Below are 14,253 nucleotides of genomic sequence, written 5' to 3' on the forward strand. Positions count from 1 at the left end.
GGGCTGCACTCACTTGACTTTCAGCTCCTCTCCAAATCGTTCTCTTCCTCGCAGCAGATGGGGGTGTGGGGCGGCCTCGACCCTCCTCTGTGTCTGGGCTGTTGTGGCACCAGCACCTTTGCCCCAGTTCCCCGTCTCTTAAGCGCTCAACATGCGTCTGCCCCGTTCTCAGGGAGGCCTGGACCCTGTCCCAGCCCTGGTGGGGATAATTACCCTGACGCTCGTTTGCAGCGTTTAATTTGCTTCCTCCGCGCTGGAAGCCCACGTTTGGTGATGTATGTGTTATGATGGCCACGTGTCCTTCCCCCATCAGCGACGGGGTCTGGGGAGGCCGGGGAGGCTCCTCATTACGCTCCCAGCACAAAGCCCAATCACAGACATCGCACACGGATACACTAGACCCTGCCTGCGGGGAGAGTGGCTGCCAGCCGGGGCACCCAGACGTCCCTGCGTGCCCTGTGCTGGCGCAAGGCAGCTCTTCCGTGCCTCCGTGGTGCCTGCGGTGAGGCTGCCTGGGACCCCCCTGTAGATGCTGCCACCAGGGTCTGCTCCAAGGAACGGGGAGAATGGGCTTGTGGTGCTGGGGCCTTGTGTGGGGTGAGACGCTTCAGACCGGAAGGGTGGGTGGCCTGGAGCTGCTCTGTCTCCAGGCACTGACCACAGCATGCACCTCTGATAGGTCCAGGAGAAGTGTGGCAGGGTTGGGCGCAGCCACCTATGAGCCCCTGAACCTCCCCAGGCCGTCGGATCTCACTTCAGAGTGGCCTGGGCATGGCCTCAGGTTAGGTCAGGTGAAGACTCTATTCCTGGCTCAGGAAAACCACCAGGACAGGTGAGCCCAGCAGCATCTCGTGGAGGGAGGCTCTGAGTCCCGTGAGGACAAGGACGGAACACCGGGGCTGCCACAGGTCGCAGAGACCCTGTGTCAACACCCTTGTTTTGAGGTGCAGAGACCAAAGTTGAGACCTGGCCATGCAGCAGGTCTGCAGGGACCTCAGAGCCCAGGGCCACTGTCCTGTCCCCAGCCCCATTAAACGCCCAGGGCCACTGTCCTGTCCCCAGCCCCATTAAACGCCCAGGGCCACTGTCCTGTCCCCAGCCCCATTAAACGCCCAGGGCCACTGTCCTGTCCCCAGCCCCATTAAACGCCCAGGGCCACTGTCCTGTCCCCAGCCCCATTAAACGCCCAGGGCCACTGTCCTGTCCCCAGCCCCATTAAATGCCCAGGGCCACTGTCCTGTCCCCAGCCCCATTAAACGCCCAGGGCCACTGTCCTGTCCCCAGCCCCATTAAACGCCCAGGGCCACTGTCCTGTCCCCAGCCCCATTAAACGCCCAGGGCCACTGTCCTGTCCCCAGCCCCATTAAACGCCCAGGGCCACTGTCCTGTCCCCAGCCCCATTAAACGCCCAGGGCCACTGGCCTGTCCCCAGCCCCATTAAATGCCCAGGGCCACTGTCCTGTCCCCAGTCTCATTAAACGCAGCAAACGTCTTCTGGACGTGCCGCCAGTCCCACAGAAAACCAAAGCAAGGCAGACTCACCGCTCCTGCATCCCGGAGCTCAGGTCCAGGAGGGTCTCGGGAAAGGATGGGGGCAACTGGAGTACCATCCTAAAGCCGTCTCAGCCCCAGGGGGCCGCAGGGGTCTACCCTGTCTTCTCTCTTGCAGGTGTGTGGTTGGTTCTAGAAGATGCTGAGCCCCCCCCCGCGCACTCGTCCCCACCTGCCTGGCCCCAGCACATCTGGCTGATTCTCATTCAGGCCTTGAATGAAAGGCCATCTTCCCAAGAGTCCTCCCTGACTCCCCTCTCACGGGACAGGTCCCTCCTGTTCCCCGCCATGGAGACTGTTGGTTAACTCTCGCCCCAGCCGACTGAAGGGCCCAGGAGGGCCGCACCTGCCTTGGCCACTCCAGACCCGCCACCCAGTGCAGACCCACCACCTAGGGCAGCGCCTCCACCCAGGGCAGACCTATTACCCAGGGCAGAGCCTCGGGCATGGCTGAAGGCAGGAAGGGCTGAGGATGAGCGTGGGTGGTGAGAAAAGGCCTCTGGACGGCAAGGACTTAGACGTGGTTCCAGGTGTGCACACGGGCAACAGCTGGGGGCCTTGGGCCCCCGCAGGCCTGATGGAGGAACCCCGCTTTGGTTAAGGCTTAAAGGAGGCGCACGGGACTGACTCTTCCTATGGAAAATCCTGCACAGGGAGATCAAATCCCAGCCTCCCAGAGGGAAGCCCCGTGCCGGCTGTGAGCTGCCCGCAGCTGCCTGACCCTAATCTTCTCCAATGAAGTGGCTCTGAGAGGTTTTGTGGTCAGTATCAGTTCTGTCTTTGATTTCAGCGCCTGGTCTGGACAGCAGGAGGAAGAGCTCAGAGACAGCTTCCTCCAGTGTCTCGGGGTGCAGCCGGGAGGAGCTGCCTCGCCCCTGCCTCTGCCTCTGACTCCCTGCCCCGCCGCCTGGCTCTCACCTGCAGCCCAAGAGTCCAGGCCTGGGCCCTAGAGTCGCTCTGGCCCACGGGAGGGGCACACCCGGGTCCCGCCCAGCACCACTAAAAGAGCCTGTTCAGAGACGTGGGCCGTCGCCCCTGCTCCTGCTGGAACGTGCAGCCCAGAGCCCCCACAAGCACCTCGTGCTGCCTCCCTCTTTGTGATCCCCCAGCCCAGCCCTCAGTTGTACCCCAGGGGAAACTGAGTCCCTGCCTGGTAAATGTGCAGCAACACAGCCACAGCAGGCTCAGCTCGGCACAGGCACAGCCAGGGTGGGCTCGGTCCAGCCTCGGCGCCTCCCCGGGTTCTGGTGCTCAGGCAGTTTCCTCCACCTACATGAGCCCCGACTTTCTCATCCGTAGAGTGGGACGAACAACGCCCAGTGCTCAGTGTGATATTAGAAGAGCCCAAGACAGTGGAGGGCTCAGCACAGATGCCGCCATCCGTCCGCAGAATCGCGCTGAGAGCAGCTCCTTCAAGGGAGCCCGGGACGTCCCGGGGAAGCCACCCTCAGTGACTGGCCCCAGACAAAGGCTGAACGGGCCGGGCTGGGCTGAGGGACACTGCCGGGGACTCGGGTAGGAAGAAGCCCAGGGCTGAAGGTCAAGGCCACTGCAACGCCCCGGGCTCAGGGGAGAGTGGGGACACAGGACCCATCCTCCTCACCTCAGGCTGGTCCTTTTCGCTCCCATGTGAAGGCACCATTGCCAGGCCAATGCTGGTCACTCTGTGATGACCAGGTTGGAGAAAAGCTGAGAACCCCAAGTATTGGGCAAATGCAGACTCTTGTGTCTTCAAACCAGAGGACATTTAACCCTAAGTCAAGAGGCCGGCTTCTTCCAGGAGTCCCCTCCCTGGGCATTGCCTGGAAATGAGGGGCCGATGGATTGTCAGGCCACACACCTGAGGGGAAGGGAGCAGTCGGGGCAACACCCTGGCAGGACACTGGCTCGGGATGGAGGGAGGAGGGTCTCAGAGTAGCAGGCTCAGGCAGACAGCTCACTCATCCCTGCCTCCAGCGCCCTCGCCCCTTACGCATCAAACTTCCGGTTAATGAACAACCTCCACACTGGGGAAACTGCTAATTAAGGTGGCTGCACTTTGGCTTCTGGCTTAGTTAGCTGCAACACCCCCAGTGCCCGCAGGAACTCTTTTCTCTCTCCCACAGAGACGCCTGGGAGGCTGAGCCCAGGCAGTCACCATGGTCGGGTCCTGTATCTCCTTCGGACTCCGGAGGCATGGGCGGCGTTCCACCTCCCACCAGGCTGATGGGGCAGAGATACTTCCCCTCAAAGAGATGCACGATTTTAACAGGCTCTCTGTGCAAGCCATACTGGCTGGATGCAACCTCTAGGGAGGAGGTGGGCAGGTGGGGGGCAGTCAGGGCCCCACCACCTCCCTGCGCCCCTGGAGACAGCTCCCAGGCTCCCCCACTCCCTGCACCCCTAGAGACAGTGCCCAGCGTCTCACCAGAGGTGCCATCTCAGCAGCACATGACAAGGGCATAAGGTCACGGCTTCCCTAGCCCCCAGGATGCGTCCCAGGGTTGGACAGGGCTCACCCTCACCTAAGGTTTGGGACTCACCTGGTGTCCACTCTGGAGTCAGCTGACCCGGCCCAGCCCTGAGGTCTCTCCTCCACCTGTCTGGCTCCAGGACAGTGATGGGCATTGCAGGCCGCTCTGTCAGGTGGCGTTTCTAACCTTGTTCTATCCACAGAACTCGTCTTCAAAAAAAGTTTACATGACAGAACCATTTAGAAGAAAAAAAGCAGAGAGGCCTTGGTTGAGGTTTTGGTGGCTCTGAGTCAGATCCACCGGCCTGAACTCCACCAGCCCTGCACCCCAGCAGCCCTGTACCCCATCAGCCCTGCACCCCACCAGCCCTGCACCCCATCAGCCCTGTACCCCATCAGCCCTGCACCCCACTTCCCACCAGCATTGCACCCCACCGGCCACCAGCTCTGCACCCCACCCCTACCATCCCTGCATCCCAGCAGCCCTGCACCCCATCAGTCGTGCACCCCATCAACCCTGCACCCCACCAGCCCTATACCCCATCAGCCCTGTACCCCATCAGCCCTCTACCCCATCAGCCTTGTACCCCATCAGCCCTATACCCCAGCAGCCCTGCACCCCACCCCCCATGAGCCCTGCACCCCACACCCCACCAGCTCTGCACCCCACACCCCACCAGCTCTGCACCCCACAATCCCTGAACCCCACCATCCCTGCACCCCAGCAGCCCTGTATCCCACCAGCACTGTACCCCACCGCCTACCACCTCTGCACCCCCAACCCGCCCTATGCCCCACCACCCTTGCACCCCCACCAACCCTGCAACCCCATCACCCCTGTATCCTCCAGTCAGCCCTGTATCCCACCCCACCACCCCCACACCCCCACCAGCCCTGTACCCCCACCAGTCCCACACCCCCCACCAGCCCTGCACTCCAGCCCCAGCCCCCTGCGCAGACTCCGAGGCATTTCCCAGGAACCCCAGATTCCAGGAAGCACCGTTCAGAAACTGCCCGCTCTGCTCATGTCCGTAACTCAGATCTTTTGTTAATTTTCTCAGCAACAAGTGATAACTCAACCATTTTTGGGGAGAAGATACTCCCAGGTTCACTGATTTTTCTCTTCGTACACTTTTCTTTTAATGATTTTTTAATTCCGTGGGTAAAACACGAATAGGTTTTCCTTGGAAAAGAGTTCAAAGCAGCCAGACAAAGGGAACTTCCCATGACGGCTGCCCAGTCCCTGCTGCAGAGGAAGCCGGGGGTGCCCGGGGATGCCCCTCCCTCCTCACTGCTTTCCCACACCAGAGTGGGGGTGTTGAGGTCGGGGGGAGCCCAGGAGCGGAGGTATGAGGTGCGGTTCCCCACCCTGAAAGTACACAAGGGCCTGCATGGGAGCTGCTGGCCTTTGCAGGCTCGTCGGCACCAGCTTGGGTCAGCAGTCTGGGCAGAGGCCACACAGCCTGGACCCCTCAGGACAGTTTCCCTGGAAGAGAGGTTCCTGTTTTCACCCTTGACTCACAGTTCAGAGGCCAAGCAAACAAAGTGCCTGTGGCAGGTGCATCAGCAGCTCACATCCAGGGTGCCCCTGCCTGGGCTCGGTGCCAAGGCCTCTGGGAGACCCCTCTCCGTGCAGCCCCCAGGGTCACGGTCTACAGGCTGTCAGGCGCCTGCTCTGAGGACACCTCAACCTGGGGATGCCAGGGGCACAGCTCTGCCCCCAGCCACTCTGGTAGAAGGGCCGCTGAGGAGCTCCACCAGGGGAAAGCCCCTCGCCGTGGACCTCCCCGACCTGGGTGGGCTGGCGAGTGGCTTTGCCTGGGAGAAATAAAGGCTCTGGGTGTAGACACAGCAGGGGAGCTGGTGGACCCACCGCAGAGCCCCCGGGCGACCACCGGGGCCGAGGACCTGGGTTCCCCCGCCATCCCTCCTTGGGGGGTGGGGACAGAGGGAGCCCCCATTTGGCTCATCTGGGGAGCTCAGTTCTTTGGCCCTTGGTCTGGGGTGACAGCCGGGGGCACCCAGGCCCCTCCAGCTCGGAGCTGCACCAGGGACGGGTGCGTCCGGAGGGAGCATCAGCAGCCAGTCACGGTAGTGGCTTCGCCTCTGCACATCCAGATCAGGGAGAAGAGGGAAAGGCTTCCATCCCACGGTTGGCTTTGCCGAGACGTTTCTAAATAAACGAGCTTTGCGGGGCGGCAGGTTGATGCATCTGGAGTGTGGGGTCTCCTCCAGCTTCCGGAGCACACGCCTCCCACCGCACCGCCACCTCCCCGGCTCTGAGAGGAAAACTCATTCATCTTTCAACACTTCATCCCCGGCGAGACCCTCCGGGCCCATCCCCCACCCCGAATAGCCTGTGTGTGTTTCCATAGCAACCTGCACGTGCCTCTGTGGGTCACATTTCATGAGGCCGTGAGCTCTTTGAAGGCACGGCCTTGACTTGAATCATTCACAGGGTGCAGAGTGGACGGGTGAACCATGACCCTAAGCCAGCCTGGGGGGCAGGTGAGCCAGCTCCCTCCCATGCCATTCTCTGGACCATAGCTCATGCACCCCGATTGCGTCTTACCGTCATTTGACAGACAGAGGCCAAGGCCCACAGAAAGGGGGCCCTCCCCTTCAGCAGCAGGGAGACGGCGGTCATGCTGGCCCGAGACAGGACGCCCCTCCTGGGGAGACGGAGCTCTGCAGACGGGAAAAGCCAGCTGCCCCCCTGCACACCGGGGTGCGGGGCAGCCCTGCTTCCTTGGAACAAAGGCTGCACTTGCAGAAGTAGCTCAGACTTTCACCTGCTTCAAACCCTGGGCCGTCTTCTGGTCTCAAGGCCAGGAGGCAGGGCCCACCGTCTGCTCCCTCCTGCTGGATGGAGCCTGGGGAAGCTGAGGATAATGGGGGCGTGGGGAGGGCTTCTGAGCCCCCGTGCTGAGCAGCAACACCAACCCTCCCAGTGCTGGTGAGAATTCCGGAGCAGCTGGTTTACTCCGTCTGGCAGGCGTTTCCCTCCCAACAGCAAAGCATCCCGGGCTTCTAGCATCTACCTTGTAAATATCAAGGGCATTGCAGGGAAGCTGAGCTGGCACTGGTGAGCTGACGTCAGCAAAGGGTCAGCCCCGGGGCCGGGGGTGTGATGGCACAGCTGTGGCCCAGCCCTGGGGGCTTCATCGCTGCTGAGTACCTCGCAGTGCGGGAATCGAAAAAGCCTCCTCCCTCGGCATCGAGCTGTTCTTGCCCCAGAGACATCTGAACAACGAGTATTGTTTCAGATACACACAGGCACTATGTTTCAATTTTTGATAGTAAAACCATTATTTCTGATGCCCATTTCTCACCCCACAGAAATTACTGGAATTTATCTGCATTAGGAAATAAGGAACGGGGACCGGGCCTGGCCAGCCTCTATTACCCTGTGCCTTAATTAATTAATTCATTCATTCTTCATCAAACTGTCACTCCTCTCCCACCACCTTCCAGCCAACACTTGGCAAAGTGCAATGGGACAGCCGTGCCACGAGGACGTCTTCTGGGTGGGCTGTGGGGTCGCGGGGCTCTGACCCGAAGCTGCACGCTTGTAGGAGTGGAAGCTGTTAGGAGCTGAAGCCAGGGGGCCTTGCTCAAGGCCTGGCCTCCTCTGTGTGACAGAGCTATCCAAGGTGCTGACTTTACCTGCTCCCCAGGATGAGCAGCTCTGAGGGTCACCCAGGGAAGGGAGTGGGGGACAGTCTGAGGTGGAAGACACAGGGAGTGGGGGAAGGGGGTGCGTGCACACAAAACAGCAACTCCAGCCTCCCAAAACCACCCTCCGCTTTGTGCTCCGGGGCCCCCCATTCACCCCCGCTGCGTGGTACCCTCCTTTAGGGCTGTGCCTGCACTGTGCTGTGTCCACACTGAAATTTGCTCACAGCTGGCCCTCCACACGGATCTGCTGTTGGATACTCTGTGTTATTCCAGCTTCAATTTTCAAAGAAAAGGAGGGGCCTTTCTTCATCTGCTCAAAAATTAGACTCAAACCCACACGTCCAGTGTCCACTCAGGCTCCTTCTGCATTTTTTCCATGATCTGTTCCCTTGATTGTGTCGAAGGCAGGGGGAGGGAGAGGCCAGCATGTAACCAGACTGGATCACCCAACGGTGAAGGTGATAGCAGCGGCGGCCTGTCTGGAATGGGCTGCCATGATGCTGGCTGCCGTCGGGGAGGTGTAGCCGGGGCTGTGCGCTCTGTGGAGCTGGTGGGAGCTGGGAACAGGTGGAAGCTCCACCCACTTCTGAGTTGACAGGGTGGGGGCCCAGCTGTGGCTGCAGACCCAGGCATCTCTGCACTCTCGGAGGTCCAGGAAGCCCCTGCCCCCGCTGCCTGGCCTCTCCCTGCTCCCAGTGCCTGCTCTGATTTCAGGGCAAAGTTGAGGCTGAGCCCAGGCACTGTCACAGCCCGCCTGGGTGTACTCACCCTTGGGGCAGCACTGACACACCAGCCTCTGCTGCCCTGGCCCCCCTTCAGACTTTGGGCGCTGACAAGCATGGGAGGGAGGCTGAGGGACACTAAGGGCAGGTCAGTGTGGGCCTGCAGGCAGCCTTCAGCACAAACAGTCTGGGCACCGTGGGCACCGTGGAGAGCAGGTTAATGGTGGCAGGGGGCAGATGGGCTCCTGGGTGGAAAGCGGGGGGTCCCAGTGAAGCCTCATCTTCAGGCCAGGGCTGCCAGTTCTGTGGACCACAGTGAGAACTTGTGATACTTTTTCTGGGCCCACCCATGACCACCCATGGACCAATCGGCATGCATGACCACCCACGGACCAATCAGCATGCATGACCACCCATGGACCAATCAGCATGCATGACCACCCACGGACCAATCAGCATGCATGACCACCCATGGACCAATCAGCATGCATGACCACCCACGGACCAATCAGCATGCACTTCCTCCCCTCTGAAGCCCATAAAAACCCAGACTCAGCCAGACTCCAGATGACAATGGGTCACCTGCTTGCTTAGAGGAGTGACCCACTGCGGGTCGCCTCTGAGCTGTTCAGTGAAGCTCCCCTTCACCCGGTCACCCCCCCACGTGTCCACGTACCTCATTCTTCCTGGTGTGGAACAAGAATGTGGGGCCCAAATGGCAGGGCTGAAAGAGCCATGACAGACAGGGTTGAGACACCCCCCTTGCTCGCCATGCTGTGGGTGATGAGAGGGAGAGAAGAGAGGAGAGAAGAGCTGCGGCCCTTCGGGGAGCCCAGACCAAGGAGCTCCTAGAGCCAGGGCTGTGACGCCATCTTTGGGGCTCTGCAGTTCCTGGTACCTCCAAGCTTCCAGGCACCACCACGTTCCCTGGTGCCAGCTGTGGAAGCCACTTGTGGTCTGCCTGGTCCAGCGCCAGCCTCACAGGGAGCCGGCATGTGGAGCTGTCCTCCCTGCCGCAGCCGGCATGCCTGGCTGTGCATAGTGCCTGGACCCCACGCTCACTCGCTCACACACCGCTCTGCGCCTGGCTAGCCCTCGGCAGGTGTGGGGTCCACGCGGGTAGCATGAGCCAAGCCCAACCTCCTGGGCCGAGTGGGCGGAATGAGCCCAGAGGGCCCCAGCAAACCTTGGCAAAGGTGCCACCGGCCACAGAGGCTTCCAGCAGGAAAAGCAACAGCCCAAGGGTCCCGTGACAAAGGGAGAAGCCTTCCAGCAGAGGCGGGAGGGAGGCGCCCAAAGGCGGAGGGATCCCACCCTCCCACCCAAAGGCCGAGGCCTGGGTGCTGCCCCCTGTGGCACCCTAAAAGCCCCTATGATGTTGCCTTCTCCCAAGACGAGATCATTCAACTGCCAAGATGAGCTTTCTCAGCCTCCCCCAGCCCCCTCAGCCTCCTACACTAGCCCCCTCAGCCTCCAGAACCTGCTCATTCCAACTCCAGGGCCGGCTCCCCAGCCTCACAGGCACCTGGCCTCTGCGGTGTGCCCAGCCCTGCACCAGAGGTAGCTCTGCCTGTGCTGAAGACCTCTGCCTTCTGGGAGAAGGAGGTTAAAATAGGAGCTCATGGGAACCGAAGCCTGGTGGCCGCTTGGGTGTGAAATGCCATTCTCACGGGTTCCCCAGAGCTAGGGGCAACATCATGTGAGTCTGGGGGTCCCCCTCATTCCCCTGGTGTCCCGACTTCCATCAGAGGAGAAAGAAAAGTAGGGAGGCACAGATGTGAACTCAGGATCCAAGGTCTGCCACTGCCCTCACGCAGAGGGCCGCTTTGGCTCGGAGAAAGAGAAGGGTATGACAGGCACCGTCCCTCACCTCCTGTGTGGCTCGGGGGCCCTTGTGGCCTGCAGGCCCTTCCTCCTGCTCTCAGGCTGTGCTGGTAACCGCGCTCCTGCCTGTGTATATTTTTGGCTGGGGAGTTGGCGAAGGGGCTGTTTGTCTCCGAGGCCACTCCTGCCTCCTCTTGAGTCAGGGCGGAGACGGAGCCTTCCCAGGCAGAGGGGAGCGTGGAGGGGGCTTCAGGAGTGTGGGGCCGACCGCTTTCCCTACAGGGCGCTTGACCTGTCCAGAGGGACCAGGGAAGACGGCGGCTCCGGGGGAGGGAACTGGGAACCCGAGACCCAGAAGGTGCAGTGACTGCTCTGCTGGGCCCGGACTCAACACTGTTTACCTGAAATCCGTTTCCAGTTCAGGAGGAAACAGACTCCGTGGCAAGATGGTTTTTCCACTGGCCTCTGGATGCTCGGCCTTCCCTGATACCGCAGCTGCAGTCGCCGTTAACCGCAGGCTGGAGGGAGACCCTGACCCCAGCTCCAAGCCCCCAGTGCAGAGCCGGAGAGCCGGGCCCCAGAAGCTGTCCCTGCAGCACCACCTGCTGGGCGGTGCTGGAAGTGTCGCAGCACCAGCGGGGGCTGGGGGCGCTGCCGCTGGGTGGTGAGGACCCCGGGGTCACGCATCAGGTTATGAACTCTGACTCTGCCATTTGGTCCTGACCATAGTCTCGTCATCTGTAAAATGGGGTCACCAGCACCCCCAGGTGTAAGGACCCCATCTAGGTCCATGCTGGGGACGGTGTCGATGGAGAGAGCTGGGGGCGGGGAGGTGGAAAGAGAGGATGATAAACCAGAAAAGGGGGGACTTTCTGTCCTTATCAAGATGGGGGTGGTCCATCTGGGGACCTAGACTCTTTCATGGCTGGCTCAAGTCCCCAGTGGTCCTGGCCCTACAGCCTCTGGAGTAGGGTGAACTCCTTCGGGTGGCATCAGGGCAGAGGGCCTGGGCAGGACCAGGAATCTCCCCACCCATTTTACCCCCAGGGAGGTCTTGGCCAACCCGCTGAAGGGGTTGGTAATCTCCCCAACCCGTGTCCATGAGGGGTTCTGAGGACCCCCTAGACCCATGTGTGGGTAAACCCTTCTGCACCTGGTGCCAGCTGGACCCCAGCCCCCGCCCCACCATCCCTGTGTGGACTGTCACCAGCCCCACCCCTCCCACAAGCAGGTCTCACCCTCCCTGGCCCAGTCTCCCTCCTTCCCTTAGGGCTGGGGCTGTACCCCATTGGGTTTCTCCTGGCCAATGGCAGACCTGGTCCTCAGCTGCCCAGAATAGCGCTGGGAACCCTTCCTCCTGGCGCTGGCAGCAAGCAGGCGAGAGGCAGGACTCAGCCCGGGGCTCTCCCCACCTGACTGGCCAGCGGGTTTCCACAGCACTACCTGTCCGTCCACACAGGGCATCTGACTTGGAAAGGCTTCTCTCGGCTGATTTTTTTTTTTTTTTTATTTTGAGATCAAGTTCACTCTGTAGCCCAGGATGGAGGGCAATGGTGCAATCTCAGCTCACTGCAGCCTCCATCTCCCAGGTTCAAGTGATTCTCCTGCCTCAGCCTCCCAAGTAGCTGGGACTGCAGGCACCCGCCACCGCGCCTGGCTAATTTTTTGCATGTTTAGTCAAAACAGGGTTTCACCACGTTGGCCAGGCTGGTCTGAAACTCCTGACCTCAAGTGATCCGCCCGCCTCGGTCTCCCAAAGTGCTGGGATGACAGGTGTGAGCCACCACGCCCAGCCTGAATATTTTTTTTAAAGGCACAAAAAATATTTACCAGGCCATTTCTTGCCTCCGGAACCTGAAGAAAATAAAATTCACTTTCACATCCTCAGCAGCCAAGTGGCCCCTTCAGATCCACCTGCTGAGGTCATGGCCAGCCCTGCCCCCAGCAGTTTCCCAGGATGCGTGGCTGGGGGGTGTCCGATCACAAACCGCGGGAACTTTATTTTCAAGGCTGCTGCCTGGCCCGGGGGCTTCGGTTCCACCACATGGGCCAGTTTATCACCAGCCAGCTCTGCCTCGCTTCTTTTTATTGTGTTTTGTTTCCTTAGCAGTAAAATCATTGACTTACTTGTCTGGGTTTTTTTAATTGCAAAACGAATGCATGATGCCTGTAACCATGTCAAATAAAGAGTTATGCACAGAATTAGAATGAGAAAGTCTCTGTCTCACACCTCCCCTCGCACCACCTGCTGGGGTTGGAGGTGGGAAAGGTGCTCCCACCGACTCCGGCAGCCAGGATCACTCAGGGGACTGGGATGCGGAGAGAGCTCGGGGATAGGGCCTAGGAGTCACTGGGCCCCACCAACCACCCAGGCACCTGTCCGAGCCTCAGCGTCCTTGCAGTGCTGGGCCTGAGTCGGCCTCCTGGCGGCTGGGAGCTGGGGAGCCTGGCTCCCCAGGATGGTCAGGACTTTTTGGGAGCAGGAAGACAATAGCCCAGGAAAGCTCACTGGGCCTTCATCCTCACGGACCACTACAGGCAGGGCCCACAGCCGAGAGGTGCAGAGAAGAGCAAGCCAGTGCCGCCCAGGCTGCAACCCTGACCCCACTCCATGCACCGTCCTCCCCCAGTGTCCAAACCCCCCAAAACTCACAGAGGCTACATCGTAGGCACCACCATGGAAAGGAGGCCTGTTTCCAGGGAACCCTCTACCGCCACCCCCCCAACCCCAACCCCAACCTCACCCCCACTCCTTTCGTCACCTCCACCCCCCACCACCCATCCCTACACTCTCGGTGGCTCTCAGTGGCAGCCACATCAAGAACAAACCCACTGGGTCTCCGGGATACCCCGTAACAGGTGGAATTCTGAGAGGTGGGTGGGGTGGGCATTCTGGGGCTGAACTTGGATGAGCGAAGGCCCGGGGCAGGGAGATAGAGGCGGCCATGTGCGGGACAAGGATGTCACCGTGATTCAGAAAGGCTTTGGGGCCGACATGCAGTAATAGGGCCAGGGTCACCTCCTGCCTGGACAACAACAGACGGAATATCTGCAGCCACAGTGTTAGAGGCCTGGGACGTCGGCAGCAGAGCTCCACAGCCCCCAAGAGGACGAGCCCTCCAGCTGCTGCAGCTTCTTCCTGGTGCAGTCCTGGGTTGACGGGACCGACCTCGGAGTCTGAGGAAGCCAAGGTGCCTGGTAGAGAGGGAGAGAAGGGAGCTGCTCCGACACGGAGCCTCTGGGATCTCCTCTGCACACCCTGGGCGGACGCGGCCCAGGCCAGGAAAAGGCCCATCTAGAGGAGTCCGAGGAGCAACCCCGTGTTCCCACAGGGCCGGGAGAGGGCCTCTTTCCCAGCCAGCCTGGAAAACCTCGAAATCCATGGGATTGTTGGGGGAGAACTCAGAAGGGAGACGCTGGGCAGTCTCAGCTGGGGAATAATTAGGATGAACAAACCTGAAACACAAAAACCCCTAAAATCAAATTATTGTGAGTAACACATCACCCCATAACAAATGTCAAAAACCAGGACTAACCAAATTATTGTGAATTAAAATTCACAACTTATGGCATTAAATCAAAGATTACCAGGCATGCACAGAAATAGAAAAACGTGGCCCCCAAATCAATTGATTGAAACTGACCCCAAACTGATGTAGATGTAGAGGTAATAGACAAGGATATTTCAAATGTTATCAGAGGTTGGGTGTGGTGGCTCATCCCTGTAATCCCAGCACTTTGGGAGGCCAAGGTGGGTGGATCACTTGAGGTCACAAGTTAGAGACTAGCCTGCCCAACATCGCAAAACCCTGTCTCTACTAAAAATACAAAAAATTAGCCAGGTATGGTGGCAGGCGCCTGTGATCCCAGCTACTCAGGAGGCTGAGGCAGGAGAATCGCTTGAACCCGGGAGGCAAAGGTTGGAGTGAGCCAACATCACACCACTGCACTCCAGCCTGGGCAACAAAGTGAGACTCCGTCTCAAAACAACAAAAAAAAGTTATCAGAACTGTGTTTAATTTATGC

The 14,253-nt window shown here is 60.0% G+C and overlaps 1 long non-coding RNA gene across 1 annotated transcript, besides 4 other annotated features; it reads right to left on the minus strand.

The window, feature by feature from the left end:
* Positions 3,576 to 4,075: an enhancer, noted in NCBI's record as "H3K4me1 hESC enhancer chr20:62006107-62006606 (GRCh37/hg19 assembly coordinates)". NCBI's record gives its function as "activates a minimal SCP1, AML or CMV promoter by ChIP-STARR-seq in naive H9 embryonic stem cells {active_cell/tissue: H9 hESC(naive)}" and the evidence as "EXISTENCE:reporter gene assay evidence [ECO:0000049][PMID:30033119]".
* Positions 5,136 to 10,711, minus strand: LOC124904953 (uncharacterized). The gene is made up of 3 exons (XR_007067716.1): positions 10,629 to 10,711; positions 9,080 to 9,177; positions 5,136 to 8,706 (listed from the first exon to the last, which is right to left on the minus strand). It is a non-coding gene; the product is annotated as an uncharacterized LOC124904953 (long non-coding RNA).
* Positions 6,198 to 6,492: an enhancer, noted in NCBI's record as "tiled region #8221; HepG2 Activating DNase unmatched - State 4:PromP, and K562 Activating non-DNase unmatched - State 21:Repr". NCBI's record gives its function as "activates a minimal TATA promoter and a strong SV40 promoter by Sharpr-MPRA in HepG2 and K562 cells {active_cell/tissue: HepG2 | K562}" and the evidence as "EXISTENCE:reporter gene assay evidence [ECO:0000049][PMID:27701403]".
* Positions 6,478 to 6,772: a silencer, noted in NCBI's record as "tiled region #785; HepG2 Repressive non-DNase unmatched - State 4:PromP, and K562 Repressive non-DNase unmatched - State 20:ReprD". NCBI's record gives its function as "represses a minimal TATA promoter and a strong SV40 promoter by Sharpr-MPRA in HepG2 and K562 cells {active_cell/tissue: HepG2 | K562}" and the evidence as "EXISTENCE:reporter gene assay evidence [ECO:0000049][PMID:27701403]".
* Positions 10,668 to 11,352: an enhancer, noted in NCBI's record as "H3K4me1 hESC enhancer chr20:62013199-62013883 (GRCh37/hg19 assembly coordinates)". NCBI's record gives its function as "activates a minimal SCP1, AML or CMV promoter by ChIP-STARR-seq in naive H9 embryonic stem cells {active_cell/tissue: H9 hESC(naive)}" and the evidence as "EXISTENCE:reporter gene assay evidence [ECO:0000049][PMID:30033119]".

The sequence above is a fragment of the Homo sapiens genome, chromosome 20, assembly GCF_000001405.40.
Source record: "Homo sapiens chromosome 20, GRCh38.p14 Primary Assembly".
Lineage (NCBI taxonomy): Eukaryota > Metazoa > Chordata > Mammalia > Primates > Hominidae > Homo > Homo sapiens.